Consider the following 21,917-nt stretch of genomic DNA (forward strand, 5'->3'; position numbering starts at 1 on the left):
TCCCATGGCTCCGGAGAAGATTCTAATAGTTGTGATAGACAGTTGACCTGAGTCTGTCTGAGCAAGGCTGAGTGGTGGGCACCTCTGCGCTTCTGCCTGGCTTATGCATGCAGCATTAGCCTGACAGGGACTCCAGGAAATACAGCATCGCTGCTCCCTTGAGGGCCAGCCTCTTGGGGGATGCCAGGAAGCTGCACCCTTGTCGGGGGGGGCTGTGTCTGTCAGGGTGGACTGGGAAAGTGGCCAGGGAGGTGCCCAGGGGGTGGGAGTGTATCCTGCCAGAAGAGCCCATTCTCTCTGACACACTGGATGCTAGACTTGTATTAGAATATTTTGGAGGTCTCTAGTAATAACCATGTGAGCTCTGAGGTCCTGAGCCAGCCAAATTCAGATGAGTATCTTTCATGAGATCCTATGTCCCCACAGTGCTGTTTGGAGAGCGCTGATTACAAGCTCTCAGGGAAACCCTAAATTAGGAGTGGGAGAGAGGAATGACTGAAGGGCGAGGACCGAGAACCAGTCTTCCTAATGGCTCCGGATCATGGGGTGGGACTGGTGTCCCCTTTCCAAATGGGGAGTGGGGAGGCGAGTGGTGAAGGGGTTCAGCGCCTCCCTCTGTGGGCATGGTGAGGGAGACCCCCTGCAATGCACCTTACCCCGGGAGAGGCCAAGAAGGGCCAGGGAGGAAGAAGATGGCTGACCCTTCTCTCTGAGTCGCAGGCTCTGAAACTCCAGCACTGAGAATCTGTTCCCGAGAAAGGGTGTGGTCATCTGCTAGAACTGCACCAATAATGGAGGGAGGGCCAAGAAGGTTTCCTCACTTTGGGGAAGATGTCAGAATGCCTCACCTAGAAGTTTGAGTGGGAAAAGACTAGATTCAAGACGAGATTGCTTCATGTGAGAACACAAAGCTCCATCCCTCCCCACTGCTTGCAACATGGGCAATGGAAAATCCAGTGGGCCTGCCTCAAGCCCCACCAGGGTGGGGGGTCTTGTTGCCGCTGGGAGAGCTGACCACTGCTGGGCTGAGAGAGGAGCGTTGGCCTAGATCCAGGTGTCAACCACAGACTCACATGCAGGCCTGGGACAGAACAGTCCCGTCTCCAGACAAGAAACAGGCCCAGAAAGTGATCCTGTGGCCTGTGGTGGCCGCTTTATACTGAGGTCCTTCAGTGTTGGGACTTTGGAAGCAGACACTTTTCAGTGCTTAAGGAATAATCACTAACGGACATGAATAGGGTTGAATTGCTACTAATTGCCTTAATAATTTATTAAACACCCTCTGAAACTAGACACTTTACATAAATCTCAGTCAATATTTTTGTATTAATAGGGGAAAAAAAACACCCTGAACCTTGTCTTGGTACATTGGAACCACCATGTTTTCAAATGGGAGAGTTGTTTTTCCCCGACGTGGCTGGCCAGTGTCACCGTGGACTGCGCTGGGGCCCCTATAAGTGTGAGGCTCTTTTAGGTAGCTTGGGTTCTGAATGTCACAGGAATTGACATGTTAGACCTGAAGTAAAGGAGTTTGCATTGTATTTGCCAAGTCCACGTCTGATATGGTTTGGCTCTGTGTCCCTGCCCAATCTCATGTTGAATTGTAATCCCCATTGTCGGAGGAGGGGCCTGGTGGGAGGTGACTGCATCATGGGGGTGGATTTCCCCCTTACTGTTCTTGTGATGAGTGAGTTCTCACGAGATCTGGTGGTTTCAAAGTGTGTCATGAGTGAGTTCTCACGAGATCTGGTGGTTTGAAAGTGTGTAATGAGTGAGTTCTCATGAGATCTGGTGGTTTGAAAGTGTGCAGCACCTCCCCCTTCGCTGTCTGTCTCTCTCTCTCTCTCTTCTGCTCTGGCCATGTGAAGACAGTGCCTGCTTCCCCTTCACCTTCTTCTATGGAGTTGCAAGTTTCCTGAGGCCTCCTCAGAAGCAGAAGCCTGGACAGCTGGCAGAACCATGAGCCGATTAAACTTCTTTTCTTCATAAATTACCCAATCTCAGGTAGTTCTTCATAGCAATGCGAGAACAGACTACTGCAATGTCTTTGAATGATTGAGCCCATTAATCAAAAGATAAATAAGGTCCATGTTTATTCTTCAATATAATACATATACATGATTGTTATACATCTTTAGAAAGCAAAGAAAAACAGCTAAATGAAAGTACGTTCAGAAATTTAAAATATACATGATAGACACAATCACCACGTTATGAATCCTTTTTTTAATTTCTTATCAACACCAATAAACCTAGTCAGAAAGACTCACTGACATCTATCAGCTGAGACGACAGCAAAATACACATTAGGTAACATATGAACGCTCACACAGCAGATGCTTTCTGCTCTTCTGAATGGGTAGTAGTGGTTGAGTTATAAGCCTTCATGGAAGGTGAAACTGCCCATAGAAAGACCACTTATACAAAGCACAGCGCACTAAAATGGAGCAAAAAGAAATATAGAACACTTCTAACTGAGAAACTGCAGACTCCAAGCTATGTGAGGAAGTCATCTTAATCCAGGAACCCAATATCTAATAAATCCAGCACCCACTTCCCTTTAGGACAGACGGAAAGTTGCCTCCTGGTAAGAAAATTTCTTAATCTCAAAAAGGCTTTCAGGGAGCATGGTGATGGATAAGAAGACAAACTTGGATCCGAACTTAAGAAAAAGGAAAGAAGTAAAAAAATGTAAAAGAGAGTGCAAAAGCAAAGGCGAAGCTTTGTGGATATTGGGAAGTAGGCCGTGGTGATGCTGCAGCACACAGGGATGACAGGACGGCCAGGGGACAGGAAAGAACCGAGTCCGAGGACCACAGCCCTCCAGGGGCCTGATGCTGCCTCTCACTTGTGCTTTTACAAGCGGACTTTCAACCGGGGTTCTGTCATTTGGCCCCCAGCACACGCATGCACACTGGCACCCGTGCTGCGTGGCTGGGGGAGGGGCAGAGGAAGCAGAAGAGACAAAAAAGGAATGAAATAAAGAGCAGATTCTGTTCCTAGTATCAAATCCATATTTTGATTCTTAAAAGAGAAAAAAAAATTGCTAAGCTAATTTCCATAAAATGGATAAAAATTAAGTATTCACACATCTTTCCAAACATACATCAAAGCAAGCCACAACAATGGCAACATGCCTACTTACATTTTTGAGGAAAGAAAGCAAATTAATATCAAGTTAGAGGAAATAACTGAAAACAAACTTATGGCACTCAACAGACATGAGTGTTACCAGCTTCAACCTAGAAATTGTTTCCCCAAGTTAGTTCAGATGAGAGTCTCGTCCAAAGTTTGTAATGTAGCAAATGGGGACATGTGCCCTCCTCTCCCTGATTTTTAAATAGCAACAGATTCTGGGTAAGTGTTGGTGTCTTCCAAATTACCAATGAGGCATGCCTTCTCCTTAATAACTTGCGAGGTTTATTTCTCTCCAGGCAGTGGGAAGTGCTACATCGGTGCTTAATTTCCTCCATTTGCTAAAGAAAGTGGGAACTGCCTAGTGAGTGAGCAAAGCCATACCATCCATTAAGAGGGTGGAGGAGAAATACAGCCTCCCAAATCCTAATGACCTGTTGGAAAAATTGATCTCCATAGCCCTGGTCTAGCCAGACTCAGCTTTTCTGAGTCCATGCTCGCATCTGGCTTGATTCCTCGGCTTTGCAAAGCCCCCTTTCCCCATTAGAGCAGCAGTCTACCTAGTTACCAGCTCTCGCTGGAGCAGCCACACAAGGACATGGAGCAGGGGCGGGATGAACACTAGACTGATAATCTCCCATTTCAAGTAACTCTAGACTGTAATCATGAACTCTGCAATGCAAACTACCCTCAGCACTCATATAAAAGGCACCCTGCTGGCATGGAGATGCCTTCCCATTCCAAATGTGGAAATTTAACTACAGAATCAAACAAGATCCATTTTCAAAGTACAGTCTCCTTTCTAAACCTCAAAACAAAACAAAAATCACACCCACTCACTGCAGGGTCATCAGTGCATTAACTTGGCAAAGAAATCATGCCTGTATTTGGCCTGAGCTGTCTCTTCCATGTGTGGCAGGGTCTGGGGACAGTTTATCTGCCAACCTGAGTCAGAAGGGAAGGTGGATGCAAATTGCACGTCGTGCAAAAGATCTCCTGCTTGATTTGGTAGAGAATGCACACCACAGGACAGAAAACGCCCTGCCACGAGGGGCTTCAAATCAGACCCCTGTGTCCTGTTTAGCATTTGAGTGAATGCCAGCTCTCTGCGGTCTAACTAAGTATTAATGCATGCACTGGCTTGTATTTTTCCAGGCTCAATGAATATCATCAGCTAAAGATAGCATAGTAATATAACACTCCAGTCACAGGGTTTTGTGTGTGTGTGTGTGTGTGGTGTGTGTGTTTTAAGCAAACTAAATTAAACACTTAAGCATAGTCACATCACAGGAACATAAGAAACCAACCTCGGATAAATGCAAGGCCAAAGGAGAAAAAGAAACGCATCATAATGTAAGAGCAAAGGCTGGAAAGGAGTCAGTTTTATAACTAACACGACCACAAAATTCGCATGTGGCCTTCACCAAATCACGTATTTCCTTCTATCTCTACTTCCTCCTTACCTTAAAGATGAGAATAAGGATGTTGCACACATTCACGGCATGCTGTAAGGATTCCTTAAGTGGATCTGAGAGATAATGGGGGAAAGCTGATGCAAAGTGAAACTGCCATCCCTCATGAGGCCACCAAGTAATTCTTATGCCTTTCATTGCTATTGCGACAACAGTAATTGAGACCATTCTGGCCAACATGGAGAAACCCCATCTCTACTAAAAATGCAAAAATCAGCCGTGCGTGGTGGCGTGCGCCTGTAATCCCAGCTACTCGGGAGGCTGCAGGAGAATCGCTTGAACCTGGGAGGCGGAGGTTGCAGTGAGCCGAGATGGGGCCACTGCACTCCAGCCTCGTGACAGAGCGAGACTCCGTCTAAAAAAAAAAAACAAAGAATAAAGGCATTAACACAGCTGATTCAACACAACAGTTATTTGGAAATGGAAAATGTGAGAAAGCTCATGAATCTGGTTGGTGAGCTTGGAGTTCAGCGGGTAACAGGAATTTTGTGGGGCTTTTCCTTGCCTCTCCTTCATGTGGAAATGACACACTCATTTCGCTCTTTAAAGCCCAGTGCCTTTCTGGGCCCCATAAGCTGTCTACAGTAGGGCCATTTCCTTTCTTACATATCTGCCATGAAATGGCACACAGGCTAGGCATAGGAACCTTCCAACTGGAACGTTCCAACATTCTCACGTCCAGCAGGTGAGCTTGCAGAGTTGCCCCCACCTCTGGTGTCCGATTGAGATTTCTTCACCACCATTGAGTCCCATGAGACAGCACAGGCGAGAGACTGTACTTGGTCTTTGCCACTGTTTGTATGTGTTTACCCAGAAGCTTGAATGTTATTTCCCAAGTCACTTCAATGTTGAAAGCTCAGTGCTATCTTGCTCCAGGAGGTGCAGATCCGTCTCTTTTAGTTGACAAATGGGGCTTGAGGAAACCTGTTGTGACTGTTGACATTATTTCAAAGGTCAGAATTTCAAAGTCCAACCATAAACAGATACTTTTTGCATCACCTCTCAAAACCAATGTGTTTTGTGGGGATGAACTGTCAGTCAGAAGGGTGCAGGGAGTATAGATGTGAAAAACAGAATCAGCTACATGGAAGAAAACGCACGCTGGGGACAATTCAGAATAAATGAAAGACACAGTGGCTGATGCCTCTTGTTGGAGAATTCAAAGACGGCTTCTGTTCCAGCAAACAAATTATTTATCCATTGTAGTCACGTGACCACAGACCAAATCAAAATGACAGAGTCTGTGAAACTAAGTCTCCAAGGGTGCATGGGAGTCAGAATTCTTTCTGGCCATCTAATTGCCCCTTCCAAAGGCATAGTCTAATGGCTGGAAGTAGCTTTCTCCCTCTAAATGCATCCTCCAGTTTTAAAATCTCCAATCAATCTTAAGTGTCACAGCTGTAGTCATTTGAGAAATGGCAGACATAATGCACCCCCTGCCCCAGTGACTAAGATCAAAAAATTTTTTTAAAAAAGTAAAAAATCTCAAGATGGCAGGGAAACATCTTCCCAACATCACCACCACCGGGTGCAGGGATGTGTTTGCGCCCTGAGACCAGACCGCAGCGCTGGGTGTTCCTCTGAGCGCAGCAGAGGCACTCCAGTTCAAGTTCACATTCAGGGTCGAGGGCTCCCCCTGCTAAGACTACCAGGTCATCACAGGGGTCAAGGCATCAGAACTGCTGATTTTTCAAAAAATTTTCTCGAAGCAGCAGCAACCACAGCAGTTTTCCTGCAAAGCAAACAAAATATGAATCTTGTTAATTCAGCAGGGTTTTTAAAATTATAATTAGTTGGTTGTGCCCCTTAGGAAAACCACAGATGATTTTTTTTAATAACATATGTGTGTATATGAGCGGGGGAAAAAAAAAAGAAACCTCTTGATGGATTCCACCACCAACCAGAGTTGGGCTTTTTATTTTTCAGTTTGTGCAAGACATTTTTTTTTTCTTTCCAACTTTTATTTTAGGTTCAAGGGGTACATGTGCAGGTTTGTTACATGGGGACATGTGTGCAAGATATTTTAGTACTATTTGCAATATTGAAGGACAAGGCCTCTTTGTTTCGTCTGAAGTACAGCCACTCCGTCCATCTGGTCAGCTTGATCCCAGCATCAAAGTGAGAATGTGGCCTCAGGTGTGGGGAGGTTTCCATGTGCTTTATGACCACGTCTGACCTGGGGCCCGCACACGGCTACCTGCCATCATTCCTGTGGCTCTGAGGAGTACCCTAAATTTATATCCCATAAGTTGGCAAAAGATATAACAGAGGTAACCAGAAACAAAATGCCACCAGGTTGATTTTGGGAATGTTTCCTCTAACAAATTGTAGGAGACATATATGCCTCAGTTGACATTGTGAATTATGCCTTATTTATCGGCCTGGAACTCTTTCTTTTACAACAGGAATAATCTTCAGCCACCAGATTTTTAAAATCAATATTATCTCAAATTTGGTTTCCATCATAATACATCCTGCCATAAACCCATCTCATCCTGGCAGGGAATATTATCGTGAAGAATAATCTTTTTTTTCCTAACTTCTCAAATGAGGCTGCTCCCAGAGTTAAAATCTTATGTTAAGTTTTATTTATTTATTTATTTTTTTAAGTAAGAAGGTAGGCAGGGAATGGTGGCTTATTCCTGTAATCTCAGTGCTTTGGGAGGCAGAGGCAGGAGGATCACTTGAGCTCAGGAGTTCAAGGCCAGCCTGGGCAACATAGTGAGACCCCCATCTCTACAAATTTAAAAATTAGCCAGGCGTGGTGGTGAAAGCCTTTTCTCCCAGCTACTCAGGAGGCTGAGGTAGGAGGATCACTTGAGTCCAGGAGTTTGAGGCTGCAGTGAGCTATGCTGATGACACTGCACTCCAGCCTGGGTAACACAGCAAGACCCTGTCTCTAATTAAAAAAAAAACAAAAACAAAACAGAAAGCAAACTAGGAAGCATCCAGATTGTGTGTATCTGAAATGATTCTTCCTTGGCCTGTAGTGTGACTCAGGTGAATTTCTGAGGCCAAATGGGGCTGAAGAGTGCAGGAAAGGAAGGCAGCCAGCTCCATGGCTGTCAGCAGCCCTCCTCAAGCAGTTCCAGCAGAGGCTGTGTCCAGCTGCCCCAGCGTGGCCAGCCCAAATGCTGCTGTCTGCGTCCTCTGCACAGCCATCGCTTCGTAGGCTGCTGTGGTCTTCCATCACATTGGGTTCGAGGCACCCATGTCTGTGTGGAAGGACTCTACCCCCTCCCATCACCATTTCCTCCTCATTCCTCCCCCACCAGACCCTGGCAGCAGGCCCGCCTTGGAATGCAACCCTGGCACCCAGTGAATTCATTCCCACCAGGCCTCCAGAGTGGCTCCGGTCCTTATGGTGGGAAGGTGGTTTGTGGCAAACCCTCGGGGTTTGTGGTCGCTAGGGACAAAACTGCTTCTGGGGGTGAGGGTGAAGGCGAGGGAGAGAAGGAGTGGACACAGCCTGGTTGTCTGTGGATCCAGGAACTGACGGTGCAGGACTGGGGCACCTCGCTGAGTGCCATAACCTAGGCCTGGGGGCACGAGGGTCCTTTCTTGCTCCAGGTTGTCCTCACAAGAAACAACTCTCTCCTACCTTATTGAGACTTTCATGTCCTTGCTGTTTTTAACAAAGAAGAATGGTCTTTGTAAATGGAATGCACAAGCCTTCCTGTTCACTTTTTGTGGATTTCTAAATAAGTGACAGGGCACATGTAAGCGTCCCTTCCTCCGAAGGCCAAGTGTTTTCCTAGCACTGATGTGTGGCCTTTACTATGAGGTACTGATTCATTTCTACCCCATCTTATTCCACAAAAAATTCAAGGCAGCTTACAATAATATGTACAATCAAAAAGACATGCAAAAACCTCAGGCCCAGAAACATACCTATCAGAAGAAAGGATTAAGACCAGGCCAGGCCCGGTGGCTCACGCCTGTAATCCTAGCACTTTGGGAGGCTGAGGCGGGCAGATCACCTTAGGTCAGGAGTTTGAGACCAGCCTGGCTAACATGGTGAAACCCCATCTCTACTAAAAATACAAAACTTAGCCTGGCGTGGTGGCAGGTGCCTGTAATCCCAGCTACTCAGGATGCTGAGGCAGGAGAATCGCTTGAACCTGGGAGGTGGGGGTTGCAGTGAGCCAAGATCGCACCATTGCACTCCAGCCTGGGTGACAGAGCAAGACTCTATCTCAAAAAACAAACAAACAAACAAACAAACAACAGTGAGCAGCAAGAACTCACTCACAAGTCGTCAACGCTGTGCAGTTACATGCATGGAGCTGTGAAAATGGCTGTGGACTCCCCACCCAAGATTAGGGAGCTGACTTGCTGCAGGGTCTAGGCCCCCGGCAAGGACATGAATGTTGGGTTTTCTTAGAGTCCTTCATAAGTACATGTGCCTCTTAGTCTTCTCCTTTAGGGCTACATTGGGCTAGATTATTGATATCAAAGAAGGTATTCATGTGTAAACCCATCTCTCAATAATTCCAAAAACACCTGAGCTAGGTGGAGGTCCGCATGTGTCAGGGTGTATGGGAGGTGGTATTCTTTGGGCTCGTAGAGCAGGCCAAGATCAGGAAGCAGCTCAGGGGATTAAAAAACATGGGCTTCAGCTTCAGAAACACCCGAGGGAACCACACTCCACCCTTTACAAGCTGCATGGCCGTGGGGGTGTCTCTGAGTCTCTGAGACTCTGAGACTCAATTTCCCTATCTGTACAGAAGAGGGTGTCACTTCCTCTGATCTCACACATTGTCGTAAGGACTACCCCTAGACGGTTACCAGCACCCCCTGGGCTGGTTATTGATCCCTCCCACGCACCAGGCTCTGGTCTCGGGGCTTTGCTTGAATGATCTCGTGGGAGCCACTCAACAAGCTTAGGAAGTGAGACTCTCCCCAACCCGTAAGTCAGGCACTGAGCTTCCTCCAGTAAGAAAGAGCAGAGGCAGGGTGCAAACACAGCAGTCTGATTTCAGGGCCCTCCACGCCAGCCAAAACGCTGCTCTTCTTCCTGCATAGTCTGTGAGCAAATGCTCCATTTATTTCTTATTCCTATCTCTTAAGGCCTTCACAGACACCTCTTCAGGAGACCCAAGACTAACCTTCCAAATGGCTGCCTCCTGTAGACTATTTGGTCACAAAGTCCTGGGCATCAGAGCCACGATTCTTCTTCTTCTAGGGAAAGCAGAAGGCATATGGGAAGGATTAGGACTGTTTCCTTCAGGTCCTGACTTATGAGCTCACATGAAAAGACAATCACTTGCTACTGAGGAGAAGGTGCTCTTCAAGAGAAGTTCTTGAAGCCTACATTCCCGACAACCCCCTGGCAGACACACCGGCCAACCTCAGAGTCCATCTCAGAGTCCACTCTCCCCTGAGGCCCCTGTCACACGACCCTTCCTTCTCACTTAGAGTCAGGGCCAAACAGCTCAGCACCTCATCACACTCAGGTATGTTTTGCAAAAACTCACGCGTGTATAGCACAAGAATGCTCTATCACTTGCGATACTGGGGCTACGATGACTGCAAAGATGAGTCAGACACAGAAATGGCTTCTTCCAAAAGTTTTCAAATTGAGTAGACAACGGTAATGTGAATTCCACAAAGAGATTCAAGAAGACAGAGAAAGAGTCTCCAGTTTGAGGATTGGAAAAGCTGGGGCATTTAATACAGGCCTTAGACAAGTACTGACTTGTGGGCTGCTCTAGAGGCAGCAGTGAAGACGAGACTCAAAAGAAGAGCTGGGGGTGTCCTGGAGCAGGCCCTGACTGCAACCGGGTTGGGTCTAGTGTGGACAATGGGAAACGCGTGAAGATTTTTTCAGTCAAGGTCTGAGCTGTAATTAAGGAACTAATGATTTGATAGATTAGGGAAGAGGGTGAGTAGAGGTTGGATATCAGCTCATGGGTTGTTTTATTAGTTCACTGAGAGGGCATGAGCCGAGGTCACAACACTGAGAATGGGAAGGAAGGGTCAGAGGCTTCTTAGCTCTGGGGGAAAGAAAACATGTCAAATTTGTGTCGTGTTCCTTCCTCTGGCCCCAGAACCCTGGCTAATTCTGCAGTAGGTGCTGAGTTCTAGTAGATTCCTAATTTGGGAGTGCTTTGCCCCACCCCAGCTGAGAGCTGCTTCTGATGGAAACAGGTTATACACAGAGGGTTGGGGACGTAAGAAAGGCTGCAAACCATCGCATGTCACCTTGAGCATAATACAGAGGGCAGAGAACTCTCGGATGTTAACTTCTAAGAAAAAAAAATCCTTCTTAAATTTAGTGACAGTCAATATGCTACTCAAGTGGTTACAAAATAGTAAGTGCTTTTAAGCTTGAAGCAAAAGAGACAAATAAAAATATACGAAAGACTCAAAAATAGAATTTAGATTGAAATGGTAAACAGTTTTGGATCAGAATTAAATTTTCAACTTAAAAGTAAATTCTGATTTTGTAGAACCAATATTAATCTAAAAATAAGCCTTCTGGAAAACTTTCGTCTCAATATTTCCTTGAAAAGTAAGATATACTAAGTTTGAATATTGATTTTCAGTAACACTAAAACTGTATGGTACAAGAAAGGCTCTGGAAGCATCGCTCAGGTCCCCTGTACCCAGCAGCCCATCACCGGCAGGAGAGCAGAGCAGTGAGGCTCTGCCCGGACTCCAGAGCTCAGCCCTGTCCTGAGTGTTCTCAGCTACAGACACTAATGTGCCCATTTTGTGCGTTGCTATGAGGAGTCAGTGAGTTATTTTTTGTAAAGCAGTTAGAAGAGTACCTCCACAATACTGTATAATTATAGCTGTAATAACTAGATTTATAAAATGAAATTTATTTTTCATTAAAAAAAACCCATCATCACTCTTGAACTATCTATTCACCTCAGGTACCAGCAGATGGATGGATACAAAAGGTGATTTTACTTGTTGTTATATGGTTTAAAAAATATTCTTAAACACTTTTTAAACTGTACAATGTCATTAATTATCTGCTGTGGTTTCTATACTATCCTGCCATGTCAAAGTGTATTTGGACACCAATAAGCTTGGATAAAAATACATCGGTGGAAAATTGGCTCAAAATAGGTTAGTAACCCTAATAAGCAGTTTATGTAGTCTGGGTGAGGTACCCACTAGGTAATAAGTCTATTTTTACTTGACATCAGTACCAATTATCAAGGAAAGGTATATTCAGACACAAATAAAACTTAGTGCCGATGCTGAATTTAGAAGTAAAGTTAATTTCAATAAAAACTGGATGTGGAAAAAGTGAGTACCTAAGGCATAGTCATTCCAAGGTTTGTTGGTCAGTGAAAAAGTTCCATTCCAAAACCTCAGGAAATGGAGAGGATGAGGAGCAAAGGTGGAAGAAACAAAAACGTATCAAACCCATGCTATACCAGGGCAGGGCACCAGCCACCCTAACTGATAGGTACATCAGACAGGTCCTGGTGGGCCCAAAGGTTGGCATGGCGTCTTGCCTGTATATGCATCTTGCCAGTTGAACATCCTAGATGTTCAGTAAAGTTACTTGGGCATTACACATCTGTTTCTGTGTTAATTATATAATCCACAATTATTTGGATGGAGACAACATGAAGGAGGCAGAGAAGCCAGTTAGGAGGCTGCAGTCACTCAGGGGAGGCATGTCCCAGGCCACGGTCACCATGGGAATGGAGAGAAACAGACAGCTTCCAGAGGTAATTAGGGGATATCATGTACACAACATGGAGGTAAATTAAACATGAGATGGGGGCTCGAGGGAGAGGAAGGAAGCAAAGAAGATGTACGGGGGCTGGCTGGGGCCGCTCCATGGGCATCCTTCCCTAAGAGGATCACTGATGGTGAGGCAAGGGGCAGGGAGATGAGATTAGTTTAGGGATGGGAAGATCCTGGTGGAAACATCTAGTACACAGATGGACATATGGATCTGCAGCTTAGGAAAGATATCTGTGCCAAAGAGACAGATGAGGAAGTCGGAATATAAACATCTGGTAATTAAGGCAATGAGAGTAGGTGAAGATTTCATTGTAAGAAGTTATTACAGAGAGTGGGCTAGGTTATTCACAATACTCAGTCTGTAGTCTAAGAGTCTCCCACACATAGACTTGTATAGATACCCGGACTAAGCTGAGTATTAGAGTTAAGATTTGGTGCCCAGAGCAGATCAAGCCAGGTGAGCACAGAATTTAGAATTCTGAATTCTGTTTTAAGGAGGCATATTTCTCCTGAATGAACATTACTATATATTCTCCAGAACTTTATATGTTTATAGGTTATATGTGTGTATGTATGTGCACATAAGACAATGAAGTAATTCATTTTATAATGGATACAATAATTTAATAATAAACAGTTATGCTGAAAATACTCTGTTAAACAACAAATACATTATTTTTAAAATGTAAACTGCTCAAAAAAGCATTTTAAGGCCGGGTGCAGTGGCTCAGGCCTGTAATCCCAGCACTATGGGAGGCCAAGGTGGGTGGATCACGAGGTCAGGGGTTTGAGACCAGCCTGACCAACATGGTGAAACTCTGTTTCCACTAAAACTACAAAATTAGCCAGGCATGGTGGCACACGCCTGTAATCCCAGCTACCTGTGAGACTGAGGCAGGAGAATCGCTTGAACCAGGGAGGTGGACGTTGCAGTGAGCTGAGATCGTGCCATTGCACTCTAGTTTGGGCAACGAGAGTGAAATTTTGCCTCAAAAAAAATTTTTTTTAAAAAAGCATTTTAAGTAATTTAATACTGCACAAGATTTGCAGTCTGTGAGAAAAAGAATGAGAAAGAATCTTATTTAAGGTTAAGATGACTCCAGCATCTGATCTTCAAAAGACAGGCAGACAGGAGAAAAAGAGGAAGAGCAAGAAGCCGTGGTCACCTGGGCATTGAGTCTGGAGTGGAGCTTGTGGTCTGACAACCAGGGGTGCTTGAGAGCTTCGCTTGCACTTATTCGCCAACTAGAAGGAAATTCAGAAGGTGATTAGTAGAAACACACCGAAGAAGGCCTGTATCTGCTGTTCAATCTCAACTCCAGCTTCTGCCTTCGGGAGACCAGATGGCCGAATGTCAACTCATGGTCAATTCTGCCTTCTCTTGAATTGTGTGCTATCAATGATGGCATAGGTGACTATCGAATCCAATCAGGATAACATTAGTAAAGACAAACAAGGCAAATAATAAAAATTCTTGTTAATAACTGAACATTTACTTTCAAATATAAGTAACCATTTCTGTAGTATAACATCTGAGCTTAGTAAAGTGGATTCCTATCAGTCAGTTGAAAAATAAATATATATTTATTATTGTAAGAACAAAATGCTACAATGATTCTTGATGATTGCCAAAGCAATTTGTGTATTAAAACTTTTGAATAATAAATATTACTAACTTTTGAATTGAGAAGTTTTGAGTTAAATAGGTAGGGAAATAGAGTCGATGTAATTATTAAGAGAGGGACCATTAGATACTTTTATGAAGAAACAATATCCTTTTGGAGCCAGCAAAGGTTTATAAGATTTTGGGAAATAATATGAGGAAGAATAATATAGATTTACCATATTTAAATTCTAAGTTCTATACATTTGTTTGATGTGCTAACATTTATCACATTAAAACAAATAACCTTTCAAAATAAAAACTGTAGGCCAGGTGCAATGGCTCATGCCTGTAATCCCAGCACTTTGGGAGGCCGAGGCGGGTGGATCACGAAATCAGGAGTTCAAGACCAGTCTGGCCAAAATAGTGAAACCCCGTCTCTACTAAAAATACAAAAAATTAGCTGGGTGTGGTGGGGCACACCTGTAATCCCAGCTACTCAGGAGGCTGAGGAAGGAGAATCACGTGAACCCAGGAGGTGGAGGTTGCATTGAGCCAAGATCGTGCCATTGCACACCAGCCTAGGTGACAGTGTGAGATTCTGTCTCAAAAAAAAAAAAAAAAATGAAAAAACAAACAAACAAACAAAAAACCTGTAAGTGAATGTAACAATCTGAAGTCAAAGAGGCAGTTTCAAGCAGTAATGAAGCTTCAGTTTGTAGGATTGCTTCAATGCAATCGCTTCATCAGATACCAAAATATTTAAGTATAAGATTTGAAGAGGAGATAAGTCTTTATTACATCAATGAACTTGGTGACAACATCACCATTATAGTGCCAAAAACAGGCAGAGGTAATTTTTAAAAACCTCGTGACCTCCATCAACCTCAGTTGGAAGTGTGGTTCTGCTTAGTGTCATAAATTTTCAGTACTGGATCTCCAGAGCATTCCAATGGCTGACCAAGGTGAAAAATGATGATTCTGTACTCTAGTGTCGAACTTCTTAAATCTGGCTATTAAAAAGTTAACAATAACATTGTACTAATAATTAAACTTAATAACATTTCAAGTTTATTTCTGTACCCCAGAAATTTATTCTATGATAGTGGTGTTTGGCTTTTGGCTTTAGTTTCATCCAAGCATTGACTGGAATTCTAAGCCAGTTGCCATCGGCCCAAATGGGCATCTGATGCTCCTTGGGCATTCATGAAGCCCTCAGACTGAAGGAGTGAGCGGCACTGGAGCCCACTGGGCCCACCTCTGCATCTGCTCTGAGATAGCCGTGTGACTGCAGCACTGCTCTCAGCCTCAGTTTCCCCATGTGTAAAATGATGGTCTCCACAGACCACAGGATTATCCAGAAGCCAAATAAGATAACACATGAAAGTACACATGTAAAACAGGTTCACAGTAAATGTGGACTTCTCGTCCTCCAAAGATTTGAAAGGGTTGACAGTTTCCATCTGTTCACTGCCTTGGGTAGAGTAATGTGCTCATAATAATAACCTTGGCTGTTATTGTGCCTTTCCATCAAGGCACAATACTAGCCAAGGTTATTATTATTATTAATCCATTATTTGTGAATTGTCCCTCCTGTCGGACTGATACCCCTAGCCTGGCTAGGTTCTCTTCATCCTCTAAGGATGGCCTTATCTTTGTGTTAACCACATTTTATTACATCTTTTTAAAAAATATCTATCCCTTTTATTAGATGGTGAGTTACTATAGGCAGGGACTGGATTTGTGCCTCTATTCTTAGCACATGACACATTTCCTGGCACACAGTAGGTGATCAACACTTGAATGAAAGCATCTCCTGCCAAGCTGTGTGCCAGACCCACTGCCCACACTGTTTCCCCACTCCCTGTGACACCCTTCTACCTGTTGATCCACAGCCATGTGTATTAGTGACTTTAAAGCCATAAAGATAATAAAACGATAAGGCAAGTGCTATTGACCCTGAAAACCTTAACTACTTCAATCATTATACGGCTCAGGTATAAAGCCATCTGAAACAGCGTGTTTGATGGGTTAATCACAATGCCCTTCCCCTTCTATGATTCTAAAATGCAAATCCCTATATTTCAATGTCACTCTTTTTCATTCACTGAATTTTGAATTAATGTGGTTTTAGCATAACAGAAAATAGAGGGCCATGTAATAAATAACAGCCAAGTGTGCGGCCGTTGGGGAAGGAGAACTATCTGTTTGAGCCTCTGTTCTGCCAATTACTGGCGGTATGATGATGGGCAAACCACGTGGGATCTTCTACCCGATTTCTGCCTCATGGAGTTGGGGTCAGGGGTGGTAGTTAAAAGAGATAATGTCTACAAAGCACTTGGCATGATCTGGCCCACAGTAGTTTCCCAAATGAAATGGTAGTTAAAGATTCAGCTACACGGAACCATATACAGCTTAGTAGAGGTGAAAGGAATCCTAGAAATACTTCTCCCAAGCCTTCCATTTTGACAGTGAGTCAACTAAGGCCCAGCAGGAGTCCATGGCTGGTATGGCCATATGATAAATGGCAGGAAGAGAAAGGTTTGTGTAGCTTCATGACCAAAGCAGTCCCAGATCTCAGTAGACTGGGTCAAGAGGCTCAAACCTCATTCTATCCATGACTTTGCGCAAGCATCACAGATGTTAGTAAGAGAATAAATTCGAACAGCCCTGGTGGTAGGCCCTGCTTCCTTATCATCCCTACTGCGCCCGGAGCACAGGACGAACTTGCGTTACCTCTTCTCCTTAATCAGAAGCTTAGAGATGAACTCCTTGGCCTCCTCCGAGATGTCCTGAAATTCTTCATCCTCTAAGTCCCACCTGCAGGCCAGGATGTTGTTCAGCGTCTCAGCATCATTGTCACCCAGGAAAGGCGACAAACCGCTAAGTCTGGAGGACACGGGGTCCAGAGTGAGTATTTTTTAAACAGCCTCAACCCCTTTCCATACAGATTGCTTTTCTGGTTGTGCCATTTAAAGGTGAGAGAAGGAAAATAACCTAATCCTGAAGCATAATTTTATAACATATTATTGTAATCAAGAAAATGCTTGCCGCCCCCACCCAACTCCTAACTGAACAACTGCAGCAATAACAGAATATGAATATGAATATCAGCTTCCTTTTTAAAGCACTTTTCAGCTTGCAAAGTGCTACTACATGCTCAGATGGCAAACGCTAGGCATGTCACCTCTGAGGGGTGAGGCTAGCCTGAGTCATTTAGGAGATCAGTTTTTTTTTTTTTTTTTTGAGACGGAGTCTCGCTGTGTCACCAGGCTGGAGTGCAGTGGCGTGATCTCGTTTCACTGCAACCTCCACCTCCTGGAAGCAATTCTCCTGCAGCCTCCCGAGTAGCTGGGATTACAGGTGCATGCCACCACGCACGGCTGATTTTTGTATTTTTAGTAGAGATGGGGTTTCACCATGTTGGCCAGGATGGTCTCAATCTCTTGACCTCGTGATCCGCCCACCTCAGCCTCCCAAAGTGCTGGGATTACAGGCTTGAGCCACCGCGCCAGGCCATGTGAGCTTTTTAAATTAATTTTTGGCTTTTAGGTTGTGTCCTAGGAGTTAAAGTGATTAATGAAGAGGACACACATTTACTTTTCCAAATGATGTGCAGGGAAAGAATTCACTCCTTTCACCCACAGGAGTCAACAAAACCTAGAAGGCAACTGAGGATGGGACAGTGTTATTTATTTTTTAAATACCCCAATTGGGGCTTTTATTTAAAACGGCAAAACCTCAGAAAATATGCATGGAGTTGGAGAAGGGTCAGAGACAGAGGAGAGCTACTCACAGCATATAGGCGATGACCCCCACACTCCACATGTCAGTGGGAAATGAAACAAAATCATAGTTCACAACTTCAGGGGCGAGAAATTCTGGGGTTCCAAAGTTCACCTTCAGCTTCTCTCTGGGTTTGTATCTGCAATTTAAGAGACAAAGTGGAAGGATGGACGTGTCGATCAAAAATCGTGAACACTGAAATGATGTAGTCTATGAGACAAAATGACTTCAGCCATACAGCAAACTTCAGACAAACAAACATTGAAGGAAATCAAACAATCAAGCAAGAGGCTCAAAAACTTGTAAAGAGGCCCCAGAAAATTTAAAAGTCAAAATTCATACTAGGAAACCTTAAAAGCTGAACCAGTTGTTGGAGAAGCTGCTGTGAATAATGAGAACATCTGAATTACAGAAGATGACAAGAGGAAAACTGATATAGTCATTGACATGGGGATGATGTGAATAAGCCTGTAAAATGAATAAACACAGTACTGCAATAATTTACAACATCCATTTTATATGTGTCGTTAATGTGCTGAATTGTTAATGTGTCCACGTAAACTCTTTGTTCCCTGAAGAATCTTTTATGTGCCAGAACCCTTTGCAAACTTGCTTACGTTGTTAATATTTTTAAAGTAAATCTTCTCTGTACAGATGGATCAAATATGAAAGAGGGGACAAACTCTTGCAAATGCTAAATTAATGGCTTCTAATTTAATAAACTTCACTGTATTAGGTTTTAATTTTTTATACTTTTTACTGCATGCATTATAGAAACTTCTAAACACTCAAGTCTCAAATTTAGCAAGTTAAGGCCAAACATAATTTTTGTTAAATTAATTATAAATGAGATCATGAAACCAAAGAGCAGATCAGATATATGTTTGCAAAGGAAGGGCAACCATCATGTCCCCCAGCTCCATTCGTACACCTATGTCCAAATAGACATACCTTCTGGCCAATCCAAAATCAATAATTTTTATTTGCTTAGCATCCCGATTCACACACAGGATATTCTCAGGCTGCCAGGAGAAAGAGACACATTAGCAATGAAAACAACCATCATTCACTCAAATTGTCCTTGAACCACAACTAAAAATACAACGATGCTCAGAAAAAACATATCAGGCCTTTCACTTCGGGGCGGGCTTGTCCGTGTGGGTACTTTCTCCTTTAATTATGTGGTGGATGAGGTTGCGGGTATCCTGCCAACCCTGCATTATCCAGCCTGTCCTCTGCACGGCTTCACAGTTCACCATAATGCCTGAGTTCAGGCAGAGGCCTTGAGGGGAGCAAGAAAAGGAGGTTGCTTCAGTCCTTCCCAAATGTGCTGTGGAGGCCCGCTCAGGCCTGACATCTGCCCCTCTAAATTATTCAGTATGAATTTCCCCTTCTTGGAGAAATATTTTTCCCAAGATTGATGAGTTCCAAGGGAATTGACCTGCTCCATTCAAACAGCCACACTGAACATGCACTGTCACGTGAACGTTCCGGCCTCCAGAGCTTCCCTTTGCTCAACGCCTATGGGAAAGTCGCACGGCAGAGGAGGGCTTTTCTCTCCAGTCGTTCTTCAGTCTCAGCAGTTCCAAGGTTTTGCTGAGTTTGGTCTCAATGCCTAAAACCCCTGACTAAGTGTTCCCTTGGAGCTAGGCCCTGGTAAGACCTTAGCCTGCTGACCTGACAGTCTTGGGGTGCAGGGGGAGAAAATGGGGTGTAGTGCAGCCACTCAGTGTTCACAGAATGCCTTACAAGTGCACCTAATGTTTACTGGGGTAGAAAAACAGAGGTCTTGGGAAAGTAAGAGATTTGATTTAAAGTCAAGGCCATTTATAAAAGAGAAAAAAAGTTTTCAGAGTTAAGAACCCTCAGTCCCAATTCTTTACAAGCTGGAGGGCACCATCCCAGAAGCCAAATGCCCAGGATCCCGTTCCTCAGCCTTTAGTGGGATCAGGCTCCCCTCCCCAACCTGTCCAGGTGGAGAAGAGGTTCCAATGAGATCAGAAATTCAGAAACACATTATGAAATGACATAATGTCTCCTTATCAATATTCAATAGTACATTTGGTTGGGCAGAATATCTTTGGAAGCCCTTTTCTAAACTATCTCTAAAACAGATGTTTGTGAGTAAAAGTCATTATAGAGAAGGGGGTGCTACGTGAACCATTTGGTTTCATGCTTAAATCACTGATGGATCATGTATAAAGCTGTCCAATTGTGAAGGAGTACTGTGGCATCAAAAAGTTTGCAGGATATAGAGAAACCGTTTTGAGGGCATTTCAATAAGTTAGCCTTTTTATGACGATAAAATTAAACAATGTTCATTGGATAAATTTTGCAAAACAGAAAAATATAAAACAGACTGTTTGTAAGTCACCTATAATCTCCCCCCACATACTGACAATCACTCAATATTTTTGGCCCTTTTCCTTCCAAGGAGCTTTCAGAAAAGCAGCTCCTTAAGGACCCATCCAGCTGTCACCTTTATGATGATCTCTGCATCCAAGCCATAACTAAAACTGCCCACTGCAGGTCCTCAATCAATGTTATGAAGCCTCATATGGAGTCATTTGACTTACAATAGGTTTGCTCCTAGTTCCAGTTGCCAATCAAATCCCTGTAGGGATATCTGCAGAATATCTACATTCAATGAAAATGCTCCATGAAAGCATGCATTATCAAACTCAGTTCATAGTGAGGGTTTTGCTAATGATTTTTAGCCTCTGACTTTGTCATTTTATAAACCACTTCCTCCTGCTCTCCTCCTGCTCAAAAGTGAATGGGAAAGGCAAGGCACATAAATCAAGACAGTGAGGGAAGCCAAGTTATAGGAAGAGAGGCCCATGGAAACCTATTTCAGGAGGCTAAATTTATTTAGCTATGCAATCCCTAGTGAATGCAATAGATGGGATGTTATATAGATTGTATATTTTATGTTACTGTCACGCTGTGCAAACAGGGAAATGAGAAAATGACCAAGCCACACAAGACGTACTTTATGATACTTAGTCCCAATATGGGACTTGATCAGGGTTGTTGGGCCTAGGTCTTTTATTGGTTGTAACTAAGACTACATACAGTCCGATTCTAGGAACTTCATAATGAGACATGAGAGAGGTAAAGAGGGAAGGGGCAATCAATAGGAGGAGAAAGAAAGGCGGCTTGGCTTCTGTGTGCTTTCCACCATTGGCAGTGGGGTGCCCACCCCACCCTCTCTTCTCCTTAGCACTTTGGCCCCATCCTTCCGACTGTCCTCTGCTGCATTCTCCATAGGATTCTATTCCACAGGGCAGCAAACCCACAGAAAAACAAGTCCCAAAGTCTGGAGCTTCCTGAGTGACTCGAGGAGCTGCCGGCGATTCTTGGAGACCTGGAAAGGTTGACTACTACTTAGGGAATTCTGAGTTAGCTAAAATCCTCTCACCTACTTGTCCTGATGAGAGGGCTACCACGTGGATACCGCTGTGGTGGTGGTGACTGTTTTCATTCTAAACTTTTAGGGAAACCATTGCCATATAGATTTCCTTAACGCAGGCAAGTTACAAGAATCTGAATATCACCCCTGAAGATGGAACATGCAAATATTAGGGAGTGACAGAAGCTGAGAATAAGGAGATGAGGGTAACAATTCAGATGTTTATTCATTTCTGAAATGACTGTACCAATTTCCCCAGCTGGCATATAATAGCAGACAGGGCCCACTGTGCAAGAGCTGGGAAGGGCTTACGTCTCACAGGATACAAAACACCCTTACCTTCAGGTCCAAGTGGAGAATGTACATCTGATGCATGTGCCTTATCCCCTCACATATCTGCTTCATGAACAGGATGGTATCAAGCTCCGTCAAATTGTAGCTCTCATCGATGATGCGGTCAAACAGCTCCCCACCATCCACACTGCAGAGGGAAGAGGACTGAAACCCTCAGTCCCGATTTCCTTACCACCATGTGCTTTTCTCGTAGTGACTTGTCGTGCAAGTTCTGCTACCTCTTCTGAAAGGTGTATGTGCAGTTATTTCTCTGCCTTCTTTACTATCTTACTTAGATGATTCTTATCTTGAAGGCCTGTATTTTATATACCTTTAATCTCACAAATGGAAATCCTCAAGCCAACTCCCCACCTTTTTGTGTGTGTGTGTGTGTGTGTGTGTGTGTGTGTGTGTGTGTGTTTTGAGATGGAGTCTCGCTGTGTCGCTCAGGCTAGAGGGCAGT

At 44.0% G+C, this 21,917-nt stretch overlaps 1 protein-coding gene across 5 annotated transcripts in view, besides 1 other annotated feature; it reads right to left on the reverse strand.

Moving 5' to 3' along the window:
* Positions 2,077-21,917, reverse strand: part of MYLK4 (myosin light chain kinase family member 4) — a 106,740-nt gene continuing 86,899 nt past the window's right edge. For 4 of the 5 annotated variants that reach the window (NM_001347872.2, XM_005249078.5, NM_001012418.5 and 1 more), the window contains 7 exons: positions 21,461-21,602; positions 18,661-18,731; positions 17,720-17,848; positions 16,660-16,812; positions 13,487-13,565; positions 9,716-9,788; positions 2,077-6,339 (listed from right to left, as the gene is read on the reverse strand). In NM_001347872.2, coding sequence (NP_001334801.1) covers positions 9,741-9,788; positions 13,487-13,565; positions 16,660-16,812; positions 17,720-17,848; positions 18,661-18,731; positions 21,461-21,602 — 622 coding nt within the window. In that variant the 3' untranslated portion in view covers positions 2,077-6,339; positions 9,716-9,740. Of the gene's footprint in view, positions 6,340-9,715; positions 9,789-13,486; positions 13,566-16,659; positions 16,813-17,719; positions 17,849-18,660; positions 18,992-21,460; positions 21,603-21,917 lie in introns of those variants that run through there. The other variant, XR_926185.4, reaches the window with a different exon arrangement.
* Positions 3,587-4,153: an enhancer, noted in NCBI's record as "NANOG hESC enhancer chr6:2665381-2665947 (GRCh37/hg19 assembly coordinates)". NCBI's record gives its function as "activates a minimal SCP1, AML or CMV promoter by ChIP-STARR-seq in naive H9 embryonic stem cells {active_cell/tissue: H9 hESC(naive)}" and the evidence as "EXISTENCE:reporter gene assay evidence [ECO:0000049][PMID:30033119]".

Source organism: Homo sapiens, chromosome 6, assembly GCF_000001405.40.
Source record: "Homo sapiens chromosome 6, GRCh38.p14 Primary Assembly".
Lineage (NCBI taxonomy): Eukaryota > Metazoa > Chordata > Mammalia > Primates > Hominidae > Homo > Homo sapiens.